Raw genomic sequence first — 18,804 nt, 5'->3', positions numbered from 1 at the left:
CCAGCCTGGCCAACATGGCGAAACGCCGTCTCTACTAAACAGACAAAAATTAGCCGAGCGTGGTGGCAGGCGCCTGTAATCCCAGCTACTCGGGACGCTGAGGCAGGGAGAATTGCTTGAACCTGGAAGGCAGAGGTTGCAGTGAGCCAAGATTGTGCCATTGCATTCCAGCCTGGGCGACAAGAGCGAAACTTCATCTCAAAAAAAAAGATTAAAAAGAAGAAGAATTGGGAGAGCTGGCTTTGAAAGGAGTGGGAAGAGAGGTCACTGATGAGCCAGGGCAGTGCAGTCTCTGAGAGGCAGGAAAAGCTGAGGCCACATTATTAGAAGGTTGCATGATGTTCCCATGGGCTGGAGCCTGAAAAGAAGCCACTGCAGTAGGCAATTAGGAGCTCACTCATGGCTTTTGAGAGTAGAATTTCAGTGCAGTGGAGACAGTGGAAGTTAGGCTGCAGAAGGTGGGCAAGCCAAATGGACCTAGCAGACTTTGCGCATCAGGGGCTGGCTGGCACCCTCTAGAAGTTTGGCAAGGTAAGGGGAGAGGTTGGTTGGAAGTTTGAGGACAAGACAAGTTGAATGATCTCTCATTTTAGAATATAAGAAACTTAAAATTAGCCAGGCATGGTGGCATGTGCCTGTGGTCCAAGCTACTCAGGAGGCTGAGGTAGGAGGATCATTTAAACCCGACAGGTTGAGGCTGCAGTGAGCCGAGGTCGCACCACTGCACTGTACTCCAGTCTGGGCGACAGAGCGAGACCCTGTCTCAAAAAAGAACATAAGAAACTTGAGGGCCTGAACTGTGTCAGTCAGACCCTATCCTTTCAAAGATGTGGATATTGGAGAAGCCTCTTATTTTGAAACAAGTTACCGAGTTTAGATACAACTTTTTAAAAAATTTTTATGAATAAAGAGCCTGTGATGTTTTGCAGAGAAACAGCTTCACACTTTTTATTTATTCAGAACGTGGTGTACCTTTCCAGAATAGCAGCTTTAGCCTCAGTTGAGTTATATGTGTCATTGCCATTCCACCATAATAAGCTAAATGACTGATCAGAAAATATAAAAGCACTGTGTTGTGTGGTGCATAACATTTCCACATGTTTTTGTTTTGTTTTTTTCAGATCGCCTGATAGGCTTGCCAGAGGGGCGTGCTCGCAATCACAATCGACCGCAACAAATCCCTGTCCTGGCTGGAGTAATCATAGAAGATGTGGCAGTTGGAGCTGAACACACACTTGCTTTGGCATCAAATGGAGATGTGTATGCCTGGGGGAGCAATTCAGAAGGGCAGGTAAATATTTATATTGCTTGCTGCTTTCTCATATTCTAGAAATCTCACAGTGTTCCTCAGTTGGGGAAAGAGATAAGCTAGGAAATTCATAATCTACTGCAATACTCCAAGCACATCACTTTGCTATGGGACTGATTATTTTGTAAGTCTAGTTATGTCTTTCTCTCTCGACTGCGGCCAAAGAAGTATTATACCATGGTTTAAAACAATTCTGGTAGTACAGCAAAGTGATTAAGGGGATTGGCTGAGTATTTATGTGTGTGTCCTCATACACTGTTAAGTGCCTGGCATGTAGTAAGCTGCAGTATGTAAGGATTTGCTACTGTCAACATTATCATCATTACTACAGCAAGATGTGAGATTAGGTCCTGGGAACATCAGTTGATATGGGAAAAAGAATGAAACAATAATATTTTTATATTTTATAATATGATGGCATACAAAGTATCTTTAGGTTTTTGCAGGAAGTCTTGTCACTCCCATTATTTATAGGATTAAACTGAGCCTCTGAGATACTGATAAGAGACTCAAGAGGTTGATGTATTCACCCTCCTCTATTTATGAAGGAGGGAGAGACCTTGGTGTGAGATGTCTGAGATGCTATGACGGTGACTTTTAGCTCCACATGCAGAGCCACTTCCCCTTCCTCCAAAAATCCTCTCTTGGTCTGGCTTCCCCTAGTGCCAGGGACCCTTAAGTTCAAGGTCTAGCATTATTCATATTAGCCTCAGTTTGACTCCTGTGGTCTCCTCATCACTGCATTAACAGACAAGGAAGCTGCTCGTCATTGTGGTTGCACTCTTACTGAGAGGAGAGTTAATGTTGAAGGCACCTTTGGGAGTTTCCTGGCAGTGCCGTGACGTGATCCTTCCTAATGATGTTGATTTGCTTAGCTGCTGAAACACTGGCTGTCCCAGTCAGACCCTAAGTATAGAGGTTTGGAGATTAGAATTTGCTTCCATATATGTTTTTGTATATGTTTATTTATTGTTACACAGAAATCAGTGTGTTTTAAGTAAAAGCTCCATAGATCATTCTGTTATTACTTAACTTTCCAAGAATTCATTTCCTTTCCGTAAGTGGAATCCAAGGATGTGTTTAGTCATTAAGACTCATCTGCTAGATTTGGAATGGCCTTGTTGCAGCTTAGTTTTTAGCAGTCGGAGCTGTGAGGACTGTTATGATAAAGAAAATCAGAATGTATTTTATTATTGGGGGCTGGGCGTGGTGGCTCACACCTGTAATCCCAGCACTTTGGGAGGCCAAGGTGGGTGGATTGCCTGAGCTCAGGAGTTCAAGATCAGCCTGGCCAAGATGGTGAAACCCCATCTCTACTAAAAATACAAAAATTAGCCAGGTGTGGTGGCGGGCACCTGTAATCTCAGCCACTTGGGAGGCTGAGGCAGAAAATTGCTTGAACCAGGGAGGCAGAGCTTGCAGTGAGCTGAGATTGTGCCACTGCACTCCAGCCTGGACAACAGAGCAAGACTCCATCTCAAAAAAAAAAAAAAAGAATGTGTTTTATTGATGCTGATGCATGGTACAGTTATTAACTTATTTATGTCTGCCACCATCTAAGAAAAATTTCATATTGACTTCCTCTCTTCCTCTTTCTAATTGAATGTCTGTATATTTGTGATTTATTCCCAGCTCGGCTTAGGCCATACCAACCATGTTCGAGAACCAACCCTGGTAACAGGTCTGCAAGGGAAAAATGTTCGGCAGATCTCGGCTGGCCGCTGCCACAGTGCTGCATGGACAGCACCACCTGTCCCACCAAGAGCACCAGGTGAGGAATGAAATATTCATGCTCCTGCAGCGTTTCTTTTTTAGCAGTACCCCATGGCACTGTCTGCTTGCCAGTTCCCAACTGTATCCAGCATCGTTGTGAAACCATCAAGCCTTCTGCCACACAAAGCATTCTTTGTGCTACTAGCACTGGAAGTATTTTCATAGCAGGCATTTGTTCTGCTGACATCAGTATGAACCACGTCCTCTCTGCACTCCCAAAAGCAGAATACATATTACTTATGCAAGCAAAAATTTATAATTTTAGCAGCAACTAAGTTTTTTTTTGAGATGGAGTCTTGCTCTGTCACCTAGGCTGGAGTGCAGTGGTGTGATCTCAGCTCACTGCAGCCTCCGCCTCCCAGGTTCAAATGACTGCTGCCTCAGCCTCCCAAGTAGCTGGGACTACAGGCATGCACTACCATTCCTGGCTAATTTTTTCTGTTTTTAGTAGAAACGGGGTTTCGCCATGTTGGCCAGGCTGGTCTCAAATTCCTGACCTCCAGTGATCCGCCCGCCTCAGCCTCCCAAAGTGTTAGGATTACAGGCATGAGCCACAGCGCCTGGCCGGTATTTTTAATATATAAAAGAAATGACAAATTATAGCTTTCTAAGGCCCACTGTTAGAAATAAAGATTAAAAGCCCTGAGACCATTTGTCAAATTCCTCACCTTAGTTAACCATTTGAAACATGATGTCTGTGCATTGGCACAGCAGTCAACTTGCTGCCATTTTATTCCTGTGTTTAGCAAGACTGGTGGGCTACTTCAAGCTTTTTGTTGTTTGTTTTATTTTTAATTTATTATGAAATTTTTGTATAGCTACACAAAGATTTAAAGAAAACCATAATACATACTTGTGTGCTCAACACCCAACTGTGGGCCCTTTCTGATTTGATCTATCTTCCATTCCTTCCAGATGTAGCTGTTACCTTAATGTTGTGACATTTGTCATTCTTACACATTTCTTCATATTTGGGCAGTTTCCTTTTTTTTTTTTTTTTCGAGACAGAGTCTCACTTTGTTGCCCAGGCTGGAGTGTAATGGCGCAATCTCGGCTTACTGCAACCTCTGCCTCCCGGGTTCAAGCGATTCTCCTGCCTCAGCCTCCCACGTAGCTGGGATTACAGGCATGTGCCACCACGCCCAACTCATTTTAATATTTTTAGTAGAGATGGTGTTTCGCCATATTGGCCAGGCTGGTCTTGAACTCCTGACCTCAAGTCTGGAGTTCAAGCCTCAGCGTCCCAAAGTGCTGGGATTACAGGTGTGAGCCACTGTGTCCAGCCTATTGGACAAGGCCCTCAAGCCTTGTCTTTCTACCATCTTCTGGTGTCTAAGGCACTAGAATTTCCCTGAAGCAACATTGTGCCTAAGAGCTCAGCATTCTCTTCCAGTTTTGTTAACCCCTCTATTTCTTAGGGGGGGTCCTAAGATTCCCCATAGGGATTTTGTTTCTTAGATATCTAAGAGAGAAAAGTGGGAATTCCAGGTAGATGCCAAACAAGCAGGAAATGGTTTCTATTAACAGAATCTAGAATGAGCAGAGCTGCCTACGCACTGACAATTTCAGGTACTCAGTGGCTTCAGAGGGATTTCACTTCCACTTTAGGGCAGAAGCTATCCAGTGTGACAGGTAAAGGTTCAAGCTCTGGGGCCACATTGCTGGGGCTGAATCCCAGCTCCTCCACATATGATCTGAGTGACCTTGAGACTCAGTGTTTTGTCTGTAAAATGAGGATAATAATAGCACCTACTGCAAAGAGCTGTAGAAGTAAGTGGCCCCATTCATGTAAAGCTCTTAGAATAGTGCCAGGCACATAGAAGGTACTCAGTAAATGTTAGTTTTTACTACGAACAATAATAATAAATCTAGGAATTGCACTGTACCAGTCTTTATTTACAGGAAACTGAAGTGAGTTTGTATCTTGTTTTTATTCTTTTATGTGTTTTTATAGGAGGGTAGCTGTGGCTGCAGGCCTTGTAGTCTTTGCTTCTTACAGAACTCTTATTCTTGTAGTAAAAGCCTCATGAATCATGCACCTATATGTTTCTGTCATGAATACTTGCTATCAGATCCCTAGTGAATATGGAGTTGGCTCTGCTAAGTTTCCCATTTCCATTTTCCAGAACTGCCTACTTAGTCCTTGCCCACATTTGTGGTATTATGAAGATGACAATTATTAAATATGAAAGGAAAAATTTGGCTTTATTTTTGTGAAAGAACTGCCTAAGTTCTATTGTTAAATAAAATGGGAAACAAAAAGAGAAAATACCAGGTTTCATTTCCATAATAATGAAGACATTTTATTTTATTTTATTTTTTTCTCCGCCCCCTGATAAAGACATTTTAAAAACCAACACAAATGCACACACCAAACTAAGATGAATCGATGGATAGAGGTTTGAATGGGTGTCCATTGTGTAATTATCTCAACTTCTCTGTATGCTTGAAATTTTTCAAAATGTGAAAAGTGAAAGCAATGCTGTTTCCTTCATAAGTGCCCATTTGCTTTCTGGACAGGTGTGTCAGTACCTCTGCAGCTGGGCCTGCCTGACACAGTGCCCCCCCAGTATGGGGCGCTGAGAGAAGTCAGCATTCACACGGTGCGGGCCAGGCTCCGGCTGCTCTACCACTTCTCTGACCTCATGTACTCATCCTGGAGACTGCTGAACCTTAGCCCCAACAACCAGGTAACAGACTGGCGTGGTAAGCAGCCAGGCACAGACTGGCTTGGTAAGCAGTGCCCGTGACATGCTCGCCAGGCCCCAGGGCCTTTCCCTCTGCCTTTGGAAAATTCTTTCATGGCTAATAAGATAACACTTCTATTCCCATTTTATTGCTGTGTTAGGGACAGTCTAGAGGTTGGACATGATGCTGCTGGACAGAGTGGTCTTCCTTCTGTGTTTTGGTTTATCCAGAAATCAAGTATGAATGGCTACGCATACTACACATACCATTTCTTTCTTTTTTTTTTTTTTTTTGAGATGGAGTCTCACTCTGTCGCCCAGGCTGGAGTGCAGTGGCGCAATCTCAGCTCACTGCAACCTCTGCCTCTTGGGTTCAAGCAATTCTCCTGCCTCAGCCTCCTGAGTAGCTGAGATTACAGGCCTGGGCCACCATGCCTGGCTAATTTTTGTATTTTTAGTAAAGATGGGGTTTCACCATGTTAGTCAGGCTGGTCTCGAACTCCTGACCTCAAATGATCCCCCCCACCTCCACCTCCCAAAGTGCTGAGAATACAGGTGTGAGCCACCGCTCCCAGCCACTTCTACAAAGTCTGCCAGCCACTTCTACCAGCCATTTCTACAAAGTCTAAAATATGATTTTAAAATGTAAGCACACAAAGCTGTTGGAACCACAGTCAGGGTTGTTACATAAATTAATCTGAGAAATTTCAGATACTTTTTTCTCTTCTTACAAATTAGCATTCTGGGTCTTGGGGAAAGGGAGGTCGGGGAAATAAAGTAAATTTTGCTGATTTGTCTATCTTTATGGACTAGTCCAGTAACAAAGTGGCTAGCTATTGTGTGTGCGTGCGTGTGTGTGTGTGCATGCGTGAGATTTGACAAATCACTGCTAGAAATAGATAGGCAGCAGAGTCCTGTGCAGCACTAAACAGAGTGTTAGCAAACTGTAATTAGTGGAAGAAATGTTTATAATGTAAAGTTAACTGAGAAAGGCAGCTCAGAATGATATTAACTGTGAAAAATGTTATGTGTGCATACACAGAAGAGAACTGGAAGGAAATAGATGAAATTATTAATGGGGCATCTCTATATGGTAGGATTTGGAATTACTTAATTTGTGCATACATGTGTGTATCCTTCTCTGTATTTTCTAAGGTTTTTAAAAATGGTAATTATATATTTTATCAGAAGAAAAATTTAAAGGTTACTAATAGTTCCTAATCCTGAGTTTATGCTCTTAAAGTGCATTTTTAAAATAATGTATGTTCTTTTTTCAATTTTTCAAATAATATTGAGACAGGGTCTCACTCTGTGCCCAGGCTGGAGTGCAGTAGCATTATCTCAGCTCACTGCAGCCTCAACCTCCTTGGACTCAGGTGATCCACCCACCTCAGCCTCCTGAGTAACTGGGAGTACAGGCACATGCCACCATGCCCAGCTAATTTTTGTGTTTTTGTAGAGATGGGTTTTGCCATGTTACCCAGGCTAGTCTTGAACTCCTGGGCTCAAGCGATCCGCCCACCACAGCCTCCCAAAGTGCTGGGACTACAGGCATGAGCCACTGCGCCCAGCCAAAATAATGTATGTTCTATAAGTGAAAATTGTTATTTCTTTTAAGCCTAGATTGTACCATTTCTGATAACCGTACCTTCTGTTACAGAACAGCACATCCCATTATAATGCTGGAACTTGGGGCATTGTACAGGGACAACTTCGGCCTTTGTTAGCCCCAAGAGTCTACACTCTGCCAATGGTGCGCTCCATAGGAAAAACCATGGTTCAAGGCAAAAACTATGGACCTCAGATAACTGTAAAGAGGATATCAACCAGGTTAGCATATGTATGTGTGTTTGACTAATGAGCTGTGATTTTTTCAGATGGATGTTATTACTAATTTCTGTGAGTCTTGGTTTCCTCACTTCTAAGGCAGGGTAGATAGTAATAGTACTTACATTAGTACCTGGTGTGGTTACAGTGGGCCTAGCACAGTGCTTGCCTGTTAAACTAGCTTTTTCATTCACTGATGGGAAGATATCATGTGATTTTGGGGAAATTGGTAAGAGTTGTATTTCATTGCTTTCTCCCTTTCTTTTAAAGAGGACGGAAGTGTAAGCCTATTTTTGTCCAAATAGCGAGACAAGTAGTTAAGCTGAATGCTTCAGACCTCCGCCTGCCTTCCCGAGCGTGGAAGGTTAAGCTGGTTGGAGAAGGGGCTGATGATGCTGGAGGAGTGTTTGATGACACCATCACAGAGATGTGCCAGGTATATTCCTGCAGTGTCCCCTGCTGAGTTATCTAGTCTGCTAGTGGCCATTTTGCTGTTTCCAGTGATCACTCTGCCAGGCATGTTTTTATAAATGTAGCAAGGATGCATTTGTGAGCCTCATATAAAGTGATGCTGTTAGTGATACGTAGGTAAATTAGAGCAACAGCTTTTGAAACGCTTTGTCAAGATACCTTACTACATAAATATCAGTTCTTAGGCATCTACCAATGACTCACCATCTGTTGTGTTATAATATTGGCAGAATAACAATGGCATATATGTACATTTATGTAACAGACAAATCCAGGAGCACCCATGTGCTCTGATTTATTCTGGTGCTTTTAGAACAAAGTAGAACTGCCAGATTCCAGGGGAGTTAGAAAAATAAAGTTACGAACTGGTCTTAAAATTAGACCAGTTCTAATTTTAATATCTGCATTGGCAGCTTTGCTTCCAGATCAGCTCTGTCCTTTCCAGCATTACCTAGTATCAGGATTTTTCCAGTAAACCCTGTGACTAAAATAATGGTTGGCTATCATTACTGATTCGATTTGAACATCACTACACTCTTTTCACAGCCACCACTACTCCTGCCCTGGATTGACTTTCTCATTCCTTTTGGTTCTTCATACATGAATGCTTTCCATATGGGGGATTTCCTAATTTCATTTTAAATTGAAACCACAAAAATAAAGTATGAAATTGTTGGTTGTCACATGGCATTATAAATTCCTCAAAATATTCTCTTTTCAGTATGATCTTGTAATTGGTTTGTTCTCTTCATGCATTTGATTGTCATTTCTCAAAAAATTTTTTTCTTTCTTCTGCAGGAACTTGAAACTGGTATTGTTGACCTTCTTATACCCTCTCCCAATGCCACCGCAGAAGTGGGTTACAATAGGGACAGGTATGGCAGTCAGCAAGTGTTCATTATATGTCTAAAATAATAATAATAGCTCACATTTATTGAGTGCTTACTATGTACCAGGTCCTGTTTTAAGTGCTTTACACCTATTATCCCCTTCAGTCCTCATTGTAACCCTAAGGAGTAAATATTGTTGTTATCCTCTTGTCAAAGATGAGGAAACAGGCCAGGCATGGTGGCTTACGCCTGTAATTCCAGCACTTTGGGAGGCTGAGGCGGGTGGATCACCTGATATCAGGAGTTTAAGACCAGCCTGGCCAACATGGTGAAACCCCATCTCTACTAAAAATGCAAAAATTAGCCGGTCATGGTGGCACATGCCTGTAATCCCAGCTACTTGGGAGGCTGAGGCAGGAGAATCACTTGATTTGAACCCAGGAGGCAGAGGCTGCAGTGAGCCGAGATCAGGCCACTGTACTCCAGCCTGGGCAACAGAGCGAGACCACATCTCAAAAAAAAAAAAAAAAAAAGGAAACAGGCACTTCCATCAAGACTTGGTATTTATTGAGACCAAATCAATGATAATATAGAGGGGAGAGGAAGCTCAGACTTAATCATGAAACCTGATTTATGTTTCTGAAGGCCCACATGGCCTCCCCATAATGAATTTTCTGCACCAAAATTTATTTAAAAGTGTTATTATGCTAGCAAGTCACAAAATTTAGTATTTGCAATTACATACTATCTTTATATTTGCAAAATTTTGAATTTTGGATCCTGTTTCATGGACTTGTAAATTAAAAACAGAATGATTACGCAGCTCCTCACCAGCAACGGAACAAAGCTGGACGGAGAATGACTTTGACGAGTTGAGAGAAGAAGGCTTCAGACGATCAAACTACCCTGAGCTAAAGGAGGAAGTTCGAACCCATGGCAAAGAAGTTAAAAACCTTGAAAAAAAATTAGACGAATGGCTAACTAGAATAACCAATGCAGAGAAGTCCTTAAAGGACCTGATGGAGCTGAAAACCGTGGCACGAAAACTACGTGATGAATGCACAAGCCTCAGTAACCGATTCGATCAACTGGAAGAAAGGGTATCAGTGATGGAAGATCAAATGAATGAAATGAAGCGAGAAGAGAAGTTTAGAGAAAAAAGAATAAAAAGAAACGAACAAAGCCTCCAAGAAATATGGGACTATGTGAAAAGACCAAATCTACATCTGATTGGTGTACCTGAAAGTGGGAGAATGGAACCAAGTTGGAAAACACTCTGCAGGATAGTATCCAGGAGAACTTCCCCAGTCTAACAAGGCAGGCCAGTATTCAAATTCAGGAAATACAGAGAATGCCACAGAGATACTCCTCGAGAAGAGCAACTCCAAGACACATAATTGTCAGATTCACCAAAGTTGAAATGAAGGAAAAAATGTTAAGAGCAGCCAGAGAGAAAGGTCGGGTTACCCACAAAGGGAAGCACATCAGACTAACAGCAGATATCTCGGCAGAAACTCTACAAGCCAGAAGAGAGTGGGGGCCAATATTCAACATTCTTAAAGAAAAGAATTTTCAACCCAGAATTTCATATCCAGCCAAACTAAGCTTCATAAGTGAAGGAGAAATAAAATACTTTACAGACAAGCAAATGCTGAGAGATTTTGTCACCACCAGGCCTGCCCTAAAAGAGCTCCTGAAGGAAGCACTAAACATGGAAAGGAAGAACTGGTACCAGCCACTGCAAAAACATGCCAAATTGTAAAGACCATCGAGGCTAGGAAGAAACTGCATCAACTAACGAGCAAAATAACCAGCTAATATCATAATGACAGGATCAAATTCACACATAACAATACTAACCTTAAATGTAAATGGGCTAAATGCTCCAATTAAAAGGCACAGACTGGCAAATTGGATAAAGAGTCAAGACCCATCAGTGTGCTGCATTCAGGAAACCCATCTCACATGCAGAGACACATATAGGCTCAAAATAAAGGGATGGAGGAAGATCTACCAAGCAAATGGAAAACAAAAAAAGGCAGGGGTTGCAATCCTAGTCTCTGATAAAACAACTTTAAACCAACAAAGATCAAAAGAGACAAAGAAGGCCATTACATAATGGTAAAGGGATCAATTCAACAAGAAGAACTAACTATCCTAAATATATATGCACCCAATACAGGAGCACCCAGATTGATAAACCAAGTCCTTAGTGACCTACAAAGAGACTTAGACTCCCACACAATAATAATGGGAGACTTTAACACCCCACTGTCAACATTAGACAGATCAACGAGATAGAAAGTTAACAAGGATATCCAGGAATTGAACTCAGCTCTGCACCAAGCAGACCTAATAGATATCTACAGAACTCTCCACCCCAAATCAACAGAATATACATTCTTTTCAGCACCACACCACACCTATTCCAAAATTGACCACATAGTTGGAAGTAAAGCACTCCTCAGCAAATGTAAAAGAACAGAAATTATAACAAACTGTCTCTCAGACCACAGTGCAATCAAACTAGAACTCAGGATTAAGAAACTCACTCAAAACCGCTCAACTACATGGAAACTGAACAACCTGCTCCTGAATGACTACTGGGTACATAATGAAATGAAGGCAGAAATGAAGATGTTCTTTGAAACCAACGAGAACAAAGACACAACATACCAGAATCTCTGGGACACATTCAAAGCAGTGTGTAGAGGGAAATTTATAGCACTAAATGCCCACAAGAGAAAGCAGGAAAGATCGAAAATTGACACCCTAACATCACAATAAAAAGAACTAGAGAAGCAAGAGCAAACACATTCAAAAGCTAGCAGAAGGCAATAAATAACTAAGATCAGAGCAGAACTGAAGGAGATAGAGACACAAAAAACCTTCAAAAAATCAATGAATCCAGGAGCTGGTTTTTTGAAAAGATCAACAAAATTGATAGACTGCTAGCAAGACTAATAAAGAAGAAAAGAGAGAAGAATCAAATAGACGCAATAAAAAATGACAAAGGGGATATCACCACCGATCCCACAGAAATACAAACTACCATCAGAGAATACTATAAACACCTCTATGCAAATAAACTAGAAAATCTAGAAGAAATGGATAAATTCCTCGACACATACACTCTCCCAAGACTAAACCAGGAAGAAGTTGAATCTCTGAATAGACCAAACAGGCTCTGAAATTGAGGCAATAATTAATAGCTTACCAACCAAAAAAAGTCCAGGACCAGACGGATTCACAGCCAACTTCTACCAGAGGTACAAGGAGGAGCTGGTACCATTCCTTCTGAAACTATTCCAATCAATAGAAAAAGAGGGAATCCTCCCTAACTCATTTTAGGAGGCCAGCATCATCCTGAAACCAAAGCCTGGCAGAGACACAACAAAAAAAGAGAATTTTAGACCAATATCCTTGATGAACATTGATGCAAAAATCCTCAATAAAATACTGGCAAACCGAATCCAGCAACACATCAAAAAGCTTATCCACCATGATCAAGTGGGCTTCATCCCTGGGATGCAAGGCTGGTTCAACATACGAAAATCAATAAACATAATCCAGCATATAAACAGAACCAAAGATAAAGACCACATGATTATCTCAATAGGTGCAGAAAAGGCCTTTGACAAAATTCAACAACGCTTCATGCTAAAAACTCTCAATAAATTAGGTATTGATGGGACATATCTCAAAATAGTAAGAGCTATCTATGATAAACCCACAGCCAATATCATACTGAATGGGCAAAAACTGGAAGCATTCCCTTTGAAAACTGGCACAAGAGAGGGATGCCCTCTCTCACCACTCCTATTCAACATAGTGTTGGAAGTTCTGGCCAGGGCAATCAGGCAGGAGAAGGAAATAAAGGGCATTCAGTTAGGAAAAGAGGAAGTCAAATTGTCCCTGTTTGCAGATGACATGATTGTATATCTAGAAAACCCCATCATCTCATCCCAAAATCTCCTTAAGCTGATAGGCAACTTCAGCAAAGTATCAGGATACAAAATCAATGTGCAAAAATCACAAACATTCTTATACACCAATAACAGACAGAGAGCCAAATCATGAGTGAACTTCCATTCACAGTTGCTTCAAAGAGAATAAAATAGGAATCCAACTTACAAGGGATGTGAAGGACCTCTTCAAGGAGAACTACAAACCACTGCTCAAGGAAATAAAACAGGATAGAAATAAATGGAAGAACATTCCATGCTCATGGGTAGGAAGAATCAATATCGTGAAAATGGCCATACTGCCCAAGGTAATTTATAGATTCAATGCCATCCCCATCAAGCTACCAATGACTTTCTTCACAGAATTGGAAAAAACTACTTTAAAGTTCATATGGAACCAAAAAAGAGCCCGCATTGCCAAGTCAATCCTAAGCCAAAAGAACAAAGCTGGAGGCATCACACTACCTGACTTCAAACTATACTCCAAGGCTACAGTAACCAAAACAGCATGGTACTGGTACCAAAACAGAGATATAGACCAATGGAACAGAACAGAGCCCTCAGAAATAATGCCGCATATCTACAACTATCTGATCTTTGACAAACCTGACAGAAACAAATGGGGAAAGGATTCCCTATTTAATAAATGGTGCTGGGAAACCTGGCTAGCCATATGTAGAAAGCTGAAACTGGATCCCTTCCTTACACCTTATACAAAAATGAATTCAAGATGGATTAAAGACTTAAATGTTAGACCTAAAACCATAAAAACCCTAGAAGAAAGCCTAGGCATTACCATTCAGGACATAGGCATGGGCAAGGACTTCATGTCTAAAACACCAAAAGCAATGGCAACAAAAGCCAAAATTGACAAATGGGATCTAATTAAACTAAAGAGCTTCTGCACAGCAAAAGAAACTACCATCAGAGTGAACAGGCGACCCACAGAATGGGAGAAAATTTTTGCAACCTACTCATCTGACAAAGGGCTAATATCCAGAATCTACAATGAACTCCAACACATTTACAAGAAAAAAACAACCCCATCAAAAAGTGGGCGAAAGATATGAACAGACACTTCTCAAAAGAAGACATTTATGCAGCCAAAAGACACATGAAAAAATGCTCATCATCACTGGCCATCAGAGAAATGCAAATCAAAACCACAATGAAATACCATCTCACACCAATTAGAATGGCGATCATTAAGAAGTCAGGAAACAACAGGTGCTGGAGAGAATGTGGAGAAATAGGAACACTTTTACACTGTTGGTGGGACTGTAAACTAGTTCAACCATTGTGGAAGTCAGTGTGGTGATTCCTCATGGATCTAGAACTAGAAATACCATTTGACCCAGCCATCCCATTACTGGGTATATACCCAAAGGATTATAAAACATTCTGCTATAAGGACACATGCACACGTATGTTTATTGCGGCACTATTCATAATAGGAAAGACTTGGAACCAACCCAAATGTCCAACAATGATAGACTGGATTAAGAAAATGTGGCACTTATACACCATGGAATACTATGCAGCCATAAAAAATGATGAGTTCATGTCATGTAGGGACATGAATGAAGCTGGAAACCATCATTCTCAGCAAACTATTGCAAGGACAAAAAACCAAACACTTCGTGTTCTCACTCATAGGTGGGAATTGAACAATGAGAACACATGGACACAGGAAGGGGAACATCACACACTGGGGCCTGTTGTGGGGTGAGGGGAGCGGGGAGGGATAGCATTAGGAGATATACCTAATGTTAAATGAAGAGTTAATGGGTGCAGCACACCAACATGGCACATGTATACATATGTAACAAACCTGCACGTTGTGCACATGTACCCTAAAACTTAAAGTATAATAATAAAAAAAAAAAAAGATAATGATTTTAGAAAACAAGGCATTCTGGAGCAGGTAGCTTAAGATCCTTACATAGTTCTTCTAAAAATAGTTCAGAATATAGTCCATGTGCTGTGTGAAACAATAACTACGGTCCACATGTGGCTTTTGAGAACTCAACGTGTGATTAGGGAAGCCGAAGAACTGAATTTTTAGTTTTATTTAATTACTTTAGCCTTATGTGGCTAATGGATGCCATATTGAACAGTACAGGTATAGACTAACGCTATAGCTGTTGTTGCTAACTTATTTCTAATAGAAATAAGGAAAATGCTGTTTGAAATATTCCCTTTAATTTTACAGGTTCCTTTTTAACCCTTCTGCCTGCCTCGATGAACACTTAATGCAGTTTAAGTTTTTAGGAATTTTAATGGGGGTTGCCATTCGCACAAAGAAGCCTCTGGACCTCCACTTGGCCCCTCTGGTGTGGAAGCAGCTGTGCTGTGTCCCACTCACCCTAGAGGACCTGGAGGAGGTGGATCTGCTCTACGTGCAGACTCTCAACAGCATTCTTCACATTGAAGACAGTGGGATTACCGAGGAGAGTTTCCATGAGGTAAATCCTGGCCAGTCTATGTTTCTACTGGTGTTGACGTCCTATATGCACAGACTAGAATTTTTCTGTGTAAAATTGAGATACAGTCTTCCACTTGCTGTCTGGCTGAACAATGCCATATCTATGCCATTGCTGCCCTTAGCAGCTCAACCGCAGCAGTTTAAACAGCTTCTAATAGAGCAGGCTCCTGCACTTAGTTGCTCCTTCCCCCTTAATTTTTTTCTGCCTGTTAGAGTGAAGAACCAAGGTGGAAGGGGAGGCCTGAGGTCACGAGAGTTCAACAGGCTTGGTTTGTGAACAGAGAGATTTTGTCCCATTTTTAACTACAGCTGGTTGAGTCATCACATTCCTGCTGATCAAGTAGCCTGATCAGTCCTACCTGTTTTGTGTTCCTTGTTTTTATCCTTAAAAATTGTGAGTTTGTTATTGCTGTGCCGTATTTGTATGTAAAATACTTTTTGCTGTCATTTCTACCATGTAATAAAAATTCTGTTTTCTTCTGTTCCTAGATGATTCCTCTTGATTCTTTTGTTGGCCAGAGTGCTGATGGCAAAATGGTTCCTATAATCCCTGGTGGAAATAGTATCCCACTCACATTTTCCAACAGGAAGGAATATGTGGAGAGGGCCATTGAATATCGACTTCATGAGATGGACAGACAGGTGAGATGAAACATCTCGGGAGGTACACATGAATGCTTGGGTTTCTCTCCAAATGAGAGCTGACTGGGTATGCCAAAATCTGCTAATATGTATTTACTGTGTTAATTCCTCTGTATGTATGTATGAATTTATTTATTTTAATTTACTTATTTATTTTTGAGACAGCACCTCACTCTGTCGCCTAGGCTGGAGTGCAGTGGTTCAGTCTCAGCTCACTGCAGCCTCTGCCTCCTGGGTTCAAGTGATTCTCTGGCCTCAGCCTCCCCAGTAGCTGGGACTACAGGCATGTGTCACCACGCCTAGCTAATCTTTTTATTTTTTGGTAGAGATGGGGTTTTGCCATGTTAGCCAGGCTGGTCTTGAACTCCTGGCCTCAAGTGATCCACCTGCCTCAGCTTCCCAAAGTGTTGGGATTACAGGTGTGAGCCACCGCACTTGGTGATTCCTTTGTATTTATATTCCAAACCCTATTCAGAGACTTCTCAGGCCTTTTTCTCCATACCCAGTGCCTTAAATCGGTTCTGAATTGGTCTTTGGTTGGATTGAGACTGTTTTCATCTGGCATTCAGACCTTGCCTTCTTACTCCTCCTTACTCCTCCTTAGTCCTGTTTGTCCTCATGTCTTACTGCTTCCCAGCTCAGCGTCTCCACTCTAGTTGGGTTAGTCAGGGCCCACGTAAATGAACCTTCAAATGCTGGTCTTATGACCTCACATGGATTTCCCTTTCCCTGTCTTGCTGCTGTTCTTTAAGCCTCAGCTAAGAGGGCATCTCCTGCACACACAAGCTTACCTCCAGGTCACCAACCTGTGATCTTTTTCCTTACTTTGAAGTTCCTCAAGATATATCACATACTTCTATGTTATGGTCTAGGAAGTAGGCCCCAGAATTTAGGTCTTGTTTCCTCAACTTGCAAGAAATTGAATGAAGAATGCATTTTCTATTTCATTTGAGTTATCCTTGTTCTGTGCTGACAGGTAAGTAAGCATTTAATAATGGGAGTGTGAATGAGTGACCACTCATGTGGTCATAAATATGGTGTCCAAAAATGGTTCTTTTGATAATACAGTCATTAATAGCATTTCAGTAATACTTTATTTGCAGAATATGTTGGGGTCTTCTCAAGAGCTGGACTCAGGCTGTGAAGCTATAGAAGTTTAGTGATTTGAAGTATACATACTCCATACCCCTCACTCCCAGCTCCTTCTTAGACTTTGGGCCAAGTCCCATCAGAAAAATGATATCTTTAGCCTAGTGAAGTTGGGTCTTGTCAGTGATGCTATTTACACAGCCAGGGATTAGTGTTTGTCTCCAGTTGATGAATATTTTTAATCCTCAGAGAATAAATAACTGACTAGAAATGTATTGATAACCTTCTGCACGCCAGCCATGGTGCCAGGCACTCTTGGGTGCCATTTTTCCCATAGTTACTCTGTGAGGTAAGGATTGCCAGCTCTGTTTCACAGAAGAAAGCACTGAGTGCCCACAGCAGAGCCAAGACCCCAAACCAGGCTCTAAGATGGTGTCCAGGCTTTTCTGATGACCCTTCTTCTGAGGGTTGGATGGACACTCCCTTTCCACAGCTGTGTTCTGCTCTGCCCTGGCTTTGTTCTGTTCTCAGTAACAAGCCCTTCCTCCTCTTTCTTTATATATGAATTGGTCTTTGGTTCCTCTTCATCTCTTAGAACTGAGTGTTTATCCCATAACTGTCCTCAGTTGTCCCCCTGCCATCTCCAAGCAGCCAGCCCCATACCTCAGCCTAATTTTTTTTCCAGACAGCTTTTGTTTTGTGTTCCACCAAGCATAACAGCTTGTTCGTTTTTGTTTTCGTTTGGCAGACTTTGGTGGGGTATTGACCTTTACTATCAGAAGAGACTGCCTTTACTGCCAATCTCTGATCCTTATGGGACAACCTTAGTGCCAGTTTTTTATTATTTTATTTTTTAAGAGAGGGTCTTGCTCTGTCACCCAGGCTGGAGTGCAGTGGCACTCACTGCAGCTTTGAACTGTTGGGCTCAAGGGATCTCCTGCCTTAGCCTTCCAAGTAGCTGGGATGACAGGGCAAACCATTGTACTTGGCCCAGTTTTTTTTTATATATATAATAAATTTTATTATGTATATTTAAGGTGTACAACACGATAATATAGGATATGCATATAGATAGTAAAAAGGTTATTATAGTGAAGCAAATTAACATATCCATCACCTCACATAGTTACTCACTTCCTTAAGGTATGGTCCCTATTCAGATTCTTAGACTTTTTAAATGGTGGTAGATGGTTTTGAGTTGGCCAAGAGCAAAGAAGTATTTATGAAACAAACCTTGAACAGTGGTGAGTCTGTGTGTAGGGTATGCACTACTGTATAATATTGGAGGAGACATTTTTCTAAACAAGCTGTCAAGGCAGCCCCTGGTTGCACCCTACTTGGCACTCCCCAACTTGCCTGTGCCCAGCACTATGATGCTAAGAGAACAGAGCAGGGTAGAATTACCCAGTCACACAGAATTTCATGTAGTTACTCATATACAGTTCTCATCAGAGCCACATGAGAGCAGCAATATCTGCTTTTTTCAGACGGAAAAATTAAGAGAGTTAATAATTGGCAGAGCTGGGAGTTAGAACCCAAGTCTCTTCACTAAATTCATTGCCTCTTCTATTGCCTTCCTAAAGAAGGACTTCCCATTTTTACTTTCTTCTTTGTACTTTTCAGATTTTTTTTACGATGAGCACAAATAATTTTTACAAAAAGGATATAATTATTTTCAAAAGACAAATATAAATTTAAAAAACAGTAGGCAGCTAGTTGAGTGCCC

At 41.5% G+C, this 18,804-nt stretch overlaps 1 protein-coding gene across 50 annotated transcripts in view; it reads left to right on the top strand.

Moving 5' to 3' along the window:
- Positions 1-18,804, top strand: part of HERC1 (HECT and RLD domain containing E3 ubiquitin protein ligase family member 1) — a 225,331-nt gene that overhangs the window by 202,192 nt on the left and 4,335 nt on the right. For all 50 annotated transcript variants that reach the window (XM_047433260.1, XM_047433247.1, XM_047433234.1 and 47 more), the window contains 8 exons: positions 1,122-1,291; positions 2,942-3,080; positions 5,603-5,772; positions 7,430-7,599; positions 7,867-8,032; positions 8,866-8,942; positions 15,075-15,327; positions 15,837-15,989. In XM_047433260.1, coding sequence (XP_047289216.1) covers positions 1,122-1,291; positions 2,942-3,080; positions 5,603-5,772; positions 7,430-7,599; positions 7,867-8,032; positions 8,866-8,942; positions 15,075-15,327; positions 15,837-15,989 — 1,298 coding nt within the window. The remainder of the gene's footprint in view (positions 1-1,121; positions 1,292-2,941; positions 3,081-5,602; positions 5,773-7,429; positions 7,600-7,866; positions 8,033-8,865; positions 8,943-15,074; positions 15,328-15,836; positions 15,990-18,804) is intronic.

Source organism: Homo sapiens, chromosome 15 (assembly GCF_000001405.40).
Source record: "Homo sapiens chromosome 15, GRCh38.p14 Primary Assembly".
NCBI classification, from domain to species: Eukaryota; Metazoa; Chordata; class Mammalia; order Primates; family Hominidae; genus Homo; species Homo sapiens.
Note: the sequence above shows the minus strand (reverse complement) of the source record. Positions and strands in the feature narration are given on the sequence as shown.